Source organism: Homo sapiens, chromosome 9, assembly GCF_000001405.40.
Source record: "Homo sapiens chromosome 9, GRCh38.p14 Primary Assembly".
NCBI lineage: Eukaryota > Metazoa > Chordata > Mammalia > Primates > Hominidae > Homo > Homo sapiens.
Genome location: NC_000009.12, coordinates 89,559,828 through 89,569,903, shown reverse-complemented (window position 1 = coordinate 89,569,903; position 10,076 = coordinate 89,559,828). Strand labels below are relative to the sequence as shown.

General features: G+C 43.8%; 1 annotated feature.

The window, feature by feature from the left end:
• Positions 4,913-5,412: an enhancer, noted in NCBI's record as "H3K4me1 hESC enhancer chr9:92179407-92179906 (GRCh37/hg19 assembly coordinates)". NCBI's record gives its function as "activates a minimal SCP1, AML or CMV promoter by ChIP-STARR-seq in naive H9 embryonic stem cells {active_cell/tissue: H9 hESC(naive)}" and the evidence as "EXISTENCE:reporter gene assay evidence [ECO:0000049][PMID:30033119]".

Here is a 10,076-nt window from a genome sequence, read left to right as displayed (position 1 = left end):
GAAGGACTCTGATATTCCAGTTGAAACAAAACAAATGGAAATATCAATTCCGAGAGAAAATCTATTAGGTCGTCTGAATACATTTTACAAAAATTCATGTGTTGTATGATGATAAGAGTGGAGAATACTTTGAATTTTTTTTTTTAGGAGATAGGATTGCCGAGGCTGGACTTGAACTCCTGAGCTCAGGCTATCCTCCTGCCTCAACCTCCAGAGTTGTTGGGATTACAGGTTCACACCATCATGCCCAGCAAGAATACATTGAACCAAAAGTTCTCTCAAGTTACTGAAACATAAAATTTGGCTGAATGACAGATTGTGGGTTAAATGTGAGTTAATAAAATAATGCCAACTGAATAAATCTTTCATACCAATAAGCAATTTTCACGTACTTAATATGGTCTTCTCTGAATAGTGTTAGAGGAGCTAAGCTCTGTTGAATTCACTGCAGCTAGTTCAGCAGAATCTGAGCAAGGTTCCCTCTCATGAGCAATGCTGTGGAGATCAGAAGACCATCCAGGAGCAAGCCCTCATCTACATAACGTGATGGTCATGAGAAGGCTCAGTGCAGCTTCGTACATTCAATCAAGGTTCAGACATGGGCCCCATTTAGTGACATCTGGAAGCAAACCAAGGATTGTGCCAATCATTTCAAAACTACATCAGATAATTAAAACATTCTTAGAATGTTTTGCTAAATGATTTGCACTACTGATTTCATCACTTGACACAGTTTTTATATAGAGTTCAGTTTATTTAGAAAATAAAAGAATGTATTTTTACTTTTGAGTTTATATATCAATCTACGCATCCTTTTGCATTGTCAAATGTGATGAAATCCATACTTTTTCAGTCCCATGTCCTGCCGGCCCCTCTCGAAGTCAGGCCTGACCAAAACCCATCTCGAGAGTCATTTCTTCCTTCATACATCATCTGGGAGAAAACGCCATCAAGCAGGAAATGCGTGTCAGTATGGCTTTTTTTAGTTACAAGCTAGGCAAACTGAATCTGGTGAACTTAAGACAAAAATTATTGGAAGGCTATTCAGTAGATTGTCGTAATGGAAAAGCTTGGCAGCCAGGCTATATTAGTCTGTCCTCACACTGCTAGTAAAGACACATCTGAGACTGGATAATTTGTAAAGGAAAGAGGTTTAATTACTCACAGTTCAGCATGGCTGGAGAGGCCTCAGGGAACTTACAATCATGGTGGAAGGGGAAGCAAACATGTCCTTCTTCACATGGCAGCAGCAAGGAGAACTGCTGAGCAAAACGGGGCAAAGGCCTTTATAAAACCATCAGCTCTCATCACTTGCTATCATGAGAACAGCATGAGGGTAACCATCCCTATGATTAAATTACCTCCCAGCAGATCCCTCTCATGACACATGGGGATTATGGGAGCTGCAATTCAAGATGAGATTTGGGTGTGGACAGAACCAAACCATATCACAAGTCTTGAGAAGTTTGGGGTCCTTGGCAGAAGGGTCCCATCAGTCATCTCTTGGGAACTTTCCACAGGAGGGCTCACTTCCCACCTCTCTCCATTTTTGTGTGTCTCAGTTCAAGATGCAAATTTCTAAGAAAGAACCAGACTGGCCAGCTGTGGTTCCATGCTCACTCGTTTAGTTAGGTTGGTCTGTGTGCTCTGACCCTGAACTGGGAACAGGGCACTTCTCTTGCCCAAGGAAAGGTAAAGGGATGCTGAGCTCACTGTTCCAGGGAGGGCAGGGTTTTAGTGGCCCTGTGGGGACAGAGCAAGGGCTTGGTCCATAGATGTTGGAAAATTGTGACTGGAGTCATCATAGAAAGCCCAGGACCCTTGAAGGGCTACACAGTCAGTGGCAGAAGATACTAGAAAAAAAAAATCCACCCACTGGTAAAGGGAGACAGCAAGAAAACATTTCTTTCTTGGTCTCAGCTCTCAGATGGAAATATTCCCTCTGGAAAGTTTATCGTCTCAGATTTTAATATGGGTTTGGCCTTTGAATGTGTACTACCCACATCTTCTAGGAAACCTCAAGCCAAGAAATGAATGTCCCTGGTTTGGTGGCTGCCAAGAAACATGACAGAAGCAAACTCATAACATCTCTGAAAGGAAGCACCTCAATCCAGGCCCCAGAGAGTTCCTAGAATAAAGTCCCACCAAATATGAGTCCACAATCCAAAATTACAAAATAGGTGATCCATGAGCTCCACAGGCAAGAGACCGCAGAAATGACAAACAGCAGAGGCCATCTCTCCCAAACTGCAGATCTTGGAACTACTGGATCCAGAATATAAGGTAAGTTTGGGGAAAGAGATCAAAGAAGGAATTGAAACATGAAAAAGGAACAAAATGCTATGAAGAAAGTAATGACTATTCAGGTCAGGTATCAAATTCTTGTTCTGCTCAGCTGCTTTTAAGTTCTTTGTTCCAAAAAACTTGAAGCCAGACCTATAGAGTTATAATTGGTAATGCATTAAAATTATTTTTGACGATAGATCACTATGTGTTTATTTGACATGTCATGGAAGTAGTACAAAAATGTAATGAATTATGTATATTTTACAAATCTATGCTTATCCATATATACTTACATATATGAACAAAGTGTCTTAGTGGGTATAGAGAAAGAGACAGAGACAGAGATAGAGACAGCTAGAGATGGAGATAGAGATCCAAAATAAGGTTACAAACAATGGTAAAATCTATCATACTTCAGCAATAAGTGCTCTTCTATTACAGATATCTGAACTAATTGAACTAAAAAAAAAGCCCTGGCCGGGCATGGTGGCTTACACCTGTAACCCCAGCACTTTGGGAGTCCAAGGCGGGCAGATCACAAGGTCAAGAAATCAAGACCATCTGGCCAACATGGTGAAACCCCATCTGTACTAAAAATACCAAAATTAGCTGGGCGTGGTGGCATGCGCCTGTAGTCCCAGCTACTCAGGAGGCTGAGGCAGGAGAATTGCTTGAACCCAGGAGGCAGAGACTGCAGTGAGCTGAGATCGCGCCACTGTACTCCAGCCTGGTGACAGAGTGAGATTCCATCTCAATAAATAAATAAATAAATAAATAAATAAATAAATAATGCCCCATCCATGTCAAAAGAAATTAATTTTTAAAAATCTTTACTACTTGTGTTTAGAATTATTTCTCAAAATGTGTAATACATTTTTATTGTTTTGCTCTAATAATTGTACTACCAACTGAATCCAGGAAAAAATATCTATATTTTTAATTTTGGAACATACAATCATAAGGAATTTTATTTCAATTTCTATTGAACTATTGCATATGTTCCTGTATTAGTTTCTTAAGGCTGCCATACCAAATGACCACAAAATTTTTGGCTTAAAACAACAGAAATTTATCTACTCGAAGTTCTGGAGGCCAGAAGTCTGAAATCAAGATGGCAGCAGGGCCACTTGATTTCACTCCTCTGAAAGCTCCAGGGGAGAACCTTCCCTTGGCTCTTCCAGCCTCCAGTGGCTGAGGCATCCCTTGGCTTGTGGCCACATCACTCCAATCTCTGCCTCTGTCTTGATGTGTCTGTCCTCCCTTAGTGTATGCCTCTGTTTCTCAACTCTCCCTCTCCTTCCTCTTATAAGGACACTAGTTATTAAATTAAGCGCTCCCCCTAATCCAGTATGATCTCATCTTGAGATCCTTAACTTAATTACATCTGCAAAGACTCTATTTATAAATAAGGTCACATTCACTGGTAACAGGGGTTAGGACTTGAACACGTCTTTTGGTGGGACACAGTTCAACCCACTATAGTTTCCAAGCATAAAAAATATGTCATTTAGGACACAATTTTGTGAGAAAATCAGGATAGAAATATGAGTTCAAGAAGGAAATTAATGGTGTAAATATGTAAAATTTGTACACATGTAAAAATTTTAAATATGTAAAATGACTTAATGAGGTAAAATTTCTGACGATTAATTTTATGGATTTTTTTTTGGTCAGGTCCAGTGGCTCATACCTGTAATCCCAACACTCTGAGAGGCCAAAGCAGGAGGATTGCTTGAGACCAGGAGTTGGACATCAGCCTGGGCAACATAGTGAGACCCCATCGCTACAAAAAAAGTTTTAACTAGCCAGGCCCTGGTGATGTACACCTGTAGTCCCAGCTACTTGGGAGGCCAAAGCAGGAGGCTAACTTGAACCCAGGAGGTTGAAGTTACAGTGCACTGTGATTGCGCCACTACATTCCAACCTGAGCAACAGAGTGAAAGCTGGTCTCTTAAAAAATAAATAAATAAATAAATAAATAAATAAAATTAATGTATGGCTTTTTAAAGGGAAGATGATGAGGGTCAACTTTACTCCATACTGGAAATTACATTCTTCATAACTATATAAGCTTATGAGGACATTTGTAGTTATTAACTTTATAATATATAATGCAGTACATAATTTTTCACAGTTCTTATAGGGAATATGAAAGAAAACAAGTCTTGAGAGTTGTTTTTTGTTTTTTTTTGAGACGGAGTTTCGCTCTTGTTGCCCAGACTGGAGTGCAGTGGTGCGATCTCAGCTCATTGCAACCTCTGCTTCCCAGGTTCAAGTGATCCTCCTGCCTCAGCCTCCCAAGTAGCTGGGATTACAGGCACCTGCTGCCACCCCTGGCTAATTTTTGTATTTTTAGTAGAGATGGGGTTTCACTGCGTTGGCCAGGCTGGTCTAGAACTCCTGACCTCAGGTGATCCACCCACCTTGGCCTCCCAAAGTGCTGGGATTACAGGCCTGAGCCACCGCGCTGGCCTTAAAGAAAAAACTCTTTCCTGCCATGGGAAGTCTGGGGCCTCCAAAGGTGAGTCAGGAGCTCCTGTGAGAGGAGGGGGAAGCACCTGCGCTCAGGGTGAGGGAGAGGGCGCGGGGAGAAAGAAGTCCCACCCAGGACCCTGGCGCACCCATTCTCCAGCTTCCGGGGACTGCACCCTAAACAGGGGCTGGTGGTGGAAGGGGGCACCAATATGCCAGTCTCTGGCCTCAACCAAAAAAGGGTCTGTTTTGCTTTTTGTTTTTAATCAACATTTTTATCCCCTTCTCCTATGCTTCATCCTCCTGTGCGTGGCTCTGTCCCAGCCTCCAAACAAAGCTGGCTCTGCAGGCTCCAGACCGGCTGCGATTGGCTGACATCATGGAGCAGAAAATTACCACCAAGAGCTTCGTGACATCACCATCGTAGATCAGCGGGAAGTAACCAGGGCCTCAGACCAACAGAGCCAGCTGTCAGTCACCAGAGGCTAGCTGGAGGCTTGCCCCCGCCGTCATCTAGAGCTCCCTCTGGCCACAGCATCAAAAATGGCAGGTAAGAAGCACTCTCCTTTGCCGTCTTCTGAATGGCTGGCTGTCAGTATTTACCACTTTCTCTTCCCTTGGCCTCCAAGACACCCTACTTCTCAGAGGCCACGGTTCCCCGTGATCGATCACCCAGTCAGTGCAGTGTGGAGCCGCATACTGGTGCATGCTTAGGACAAGAGTCCTGTGGGGACCCAGCACAGCCCTAGCCACCTGAGACAGACCGAGGCTACTTTGCCAGTGGCCTCTCCTCCATTCTGGTCGTTTCCCCGTGTGTCCTCTGCAGTCCTGGAGCGGTTCTCCACATTAGAGATGCAAAAATGCCAAAAGAGACGCACATGCAGAGCCTGTGCTGACCAAGATCAGAGAGATCATTCCCTTATTCCCCATTCAACAAAAATGAGGGTAAACCACATGAACCACTGTGCGGGGGACAACAAAAGATCAGATATTGGCAATTTTCAATCTAATCGTATTTATTGAGCCCCTCCATGTCCCCTGCACGTTTCCAGTGCTGAATATTGTGAAAGGAAATTAAATCTTGAGACCCCAAACTCATTAAGCCAAAGGGAGAAGTCAAGCTGGGGCCTGGATCACGCAAACCTCCCTCCCCCTTTTGGCTCCTAAATAAGATGGCTACAAGGTGAAAAGCTACATGCCTCCCCTGTATTTTGCCCACAAGGAAATTCTTAGTGAGCTGCAAGATCTTTTAAGGTGTTTCTGTTAACATTTCACCATGACAACGTAAATTCAAAGCTTATCATTACAGACGCAGTCACCCCCCGCCCACCAGACACAAATGCATATGGGATTGTTTTGCTGCCCCATTTTGTCTAAGTTATCTTATGTAAAATGCAGATTCCCTGCATTTTTCCCCGACCCATTTGTCAATGTCATCTTATGTAAAAAATGCAGATTCAGTGAGCCAGACAAAGTCATGAATGACTATTTTTCCCTACCCGCCTCTTACATGAAAACTGTGTGCTTCTCAATATCCCGCCCTTTCCCCTTTAAATTTGGAGCCCTCAAAATCGTCTTCGGAGCAAGGAATCGACCTGTCTCCCTGGCATGTCCTTAACTTTGGCAAATAAACCACCTAAAATGATTAAGACTTCTCTCGTCATTTTTCTCAATTGACAACACAAAGCAGCGAACCCAGGTCCCTGACCTCGTGCAGGTTCTTCAGCCCCAGGGGCATGGGCAGTGGACTGATGTGAAGTCATTTTGTTCATGGTGGAAAAGCCATTCTCTTCCCAGCTCTCAGGCCGTGGGACAATGTCATAAGAATGGCCCATTCAAGCTTGTGTGGAGTGTGTGTGTGCGCGTGCACGTGCATAGGTGTGCTGAGGGTCTGGGGTGTGGGTGGTGGTCTTGCCCTTGGGATAATAACATTCCCATCATACTAATACTCTGACTGCTACATCTTGTCATCTTCAATGCTTGTCCCTAACATCTCTTCCTGTCATTGAGATGCAATGTGACCAACAAACATTGAATCAGGACTGACAATGTCAGAAAAAGACAAGTTAGACCACACATATATAATACTTCTAATAATTAAACTATTCACTTTGGGAGAAATAAAAACCTAATTACGTATATTAAAAGAAAGGCAAGCTGGCCTAGGAATAATGTAAAACAGTCATTTATTAATGGTAGGTTTCACTGGCGAGGTGACAGATTCCCTAATTGTTCTGTTTAGCCTCATAACTAATATTTTAATGCTTTTTAAAATTTTTGATTATTGTAACAACCCCTAAGCAAGTAACTACAGAGGAAAGAAATTGTCACAGAAGAGGCCAAGAAAAATAGGAGTAAGTTAATCTGGAATCTAAATATTGTAGACAGACCACAACGTGGTTAATCTTTAGCTTGACCTCCTCTCTAGGGAACCAAACAGAATGTAGTGAAGTGGAAAAGACAATTTCTTAAACTGATAACTGTGGCCTTAAAGAATTCTGTAACTATGACACCCAAGTCATACCCAGTCTTTTTTAAAGCCTTTCTCCAGCTCCTGGGGCCCTTTGCAAATTGTTCATTAACTCCCCAGGGTTGCACAGTGCTGGAAGGAACAAGAGCTATTATAGCACGTCAGCATCTGAGGCTGGCCAACTTATAGGCCTTGGAGAGCCCAAATTTCATCAGGAAGGGAGGGCGCCAGGGAGCCAAGTGTAAGGAAGCCCTTCCAAGGAGGGTTGATGGAGCCATCATCCTATGACCACGGCGTGGTGGGCAGCCCCGGGAGCCTGGGAGGGGAGGAAGGCACAACTCTGGACCCGGGTGTTCCAGGCTGGGCTGTTGGAGATGGGCCCTGAGCTCCCTGCGTCAAGCCCCATCCCTGATAAGAGCAAGCAGCCTCTATAAATGCTAGTTGAATGATGGAGTTGGATTCTATAATAACTCGGGCACTTCCCGTAGCACAAAACCAGATGTCCCAGGACAAAACTTTGGGGACCATGAGGGTTGCAGGCGCTGAGGAGTCCCTCGGGCAACCAAAAGCAACACCACTGAGAAGCAGTGATGAGGGAAGTGACTGCTAAAAACACGTCCACACACACCTAAGATCTGGGAAAATACTGGCTACGAGGGTGGTAGCCCCATGCAATTACTGAGCCCTGGAAATGTGGCGAGTGTCACTGAAGAACTGAATTCTAAATTTTAATTGAATAAAATTTCAATAGCACATACAATCTGTGGCTGTCAAATTGGACCATGTAGCTCTAGGGCAATGGCAAGGCACCAAGCATGTAGAGCAGGAAGATGACACTATCAGATCTGCATTTGACACCGTCTGATCTGCACAAAACGTCTGGTTTTGTGCCATGGGAAGTGCCCACGTTTTTTGTGTTTTTAATAAAAGGTAGAAATCAAAATTGCATTTGCAATATGATCTACATTTTGACAATTTTTTTTTCTTTTTTTGAGATGGAGTCTCACTCTGTCGCCCAGACTGGAGTGCAGTGGCGCGATCTCGGCTCACTGCAACCTCCACCTCCCAGGTTCAAGCGATTCTCCTGCCTCAGTCTCCTGAGTAGCTGGGACTACAGGTGCCCGCCACCATGCGCAGCTAATTTTTGTATTTTTAGTAGAGACGAGGTTTCACCATGTTGGCCATGATGGTCTCCATCTCTTGACCTCGTGATCCACCCGCCTCACCCTCCCAAAGTGCTGGGATTACAGGCGTGAGCCACCGCGCCTGGCCTTGACAATTTTATATACATTCATACTTACATACACATGAACTGAACAGTTTGGGAAGAACTCCAGAAAATATCATAGTAGGTTAAAACTGTTATGGGGCTATAAAGTTTTTTGCTTTTTATGCTTTTCTCTATTTTCCATGTATACTACAACAAGCATAATATACATTTTTCATAAAATAATAAACATCTTTATTTTTCTAAAATTATACTGCCCACTTTTAAAAGCATTTAATTACTACCATCAAAAACATGAAAATGACCCAAATGTCCAGCTACCTGTAAATGGATAAACAAATTGTGGCACATCCATAAACAAAAGACCACCCGGCAGTGAAAATAAATGGATCACCGGCACACACAACATGGGTGAGTTTCAGAAACATCACGCTAACGTAACATTTACATGGACTATTCCTGGAAATGTGTGCAGGAGCAAGTCAAGAGTTTTGGTTTTGTCTTTTTTAAGAGCATCTAATAGGACCCGTACATCTGATTGCAACTATCTGAGCACATTGCCAACTTTGAACAGGAATCCAAAAAAAAAATAGGAAGTTTGGGTTTTACTGAGTATTTTTCTTTTTTATTTTATTTTATTTTTTTGAGACAGGGTCTTGCTCTGTCGCCCAGGCTGGAGTGCAGTGGTGCAATCTCAGCTCACTGCGACCTTTGCCTCTGGGACTCAAGTGATCCTCCCACCTCAGCCTCCTGAGCAGCTAGGACCACAAGTGCACACCACCGTGACCAGCTAATTTTTGTATTTTTTGTAGAGATGAGTTTTCGCCATGTTGCCCAGGCTGGTCTTGCACTCCTGAACTCAAGAGATCCTCCTGCCTCAGCCTCCCAAAGTGCTGGAATTACAGATGTGAGCTACCTCGCCCTGCCCAGGCATTTTTCTTTCCTGTTCATGTTGCATTTCCATACTGATGCATCACAGGTGAAATTCCTCCTAACTTTCTTAGAAATTCCGGCAGCCCAGGTCTTTCCTTGGAGCCCTGCAGCTGCACATCTAGACAGCCTGTTCCTCCCGAGTACTGGGCACCCACTCTGGAAGGGACGGGGAACCCCACCAACTTTGTCCTTCTCATATCAGCAGCCTGAGAAGGAGTCCTGCCAGCTCCCTTCCCTGCCCACTATCAGAGGCCACCACTATTCTGACTCCCGAAGATCTCTTGAATCTTTCCGAGATCATGCAGCCATTATTTACCCCCAGCACCACTGTGGCAACATCTCCACAGGTCCTTACACTGTCCGCATGGAGCCACAGTGAGTGACAAATAACAGTAACAAATGCAGATCCGATGGTGTCATCTTCCTGGTCTACATTCTTGGTGACCTGCCGTTGTGCTACAGCTATGAAGCCCAACTTGGCAGCCACAAGTTGCATGTGCTATTGAAATTTTATTTAATTAAAATCTAAAATTCAGTTTCTTGGTCACACTAACCACATTTCCAGGGCTCAGTAGTTACATGCGGCTACCACACTGGTCACTACAGATACAGAGGTTTTCTCTCTGTGCAGCAAGTTCTGCTGGACGACGCCGAATTGAAACATAAAGCAAGACCTTGAACTGGCCC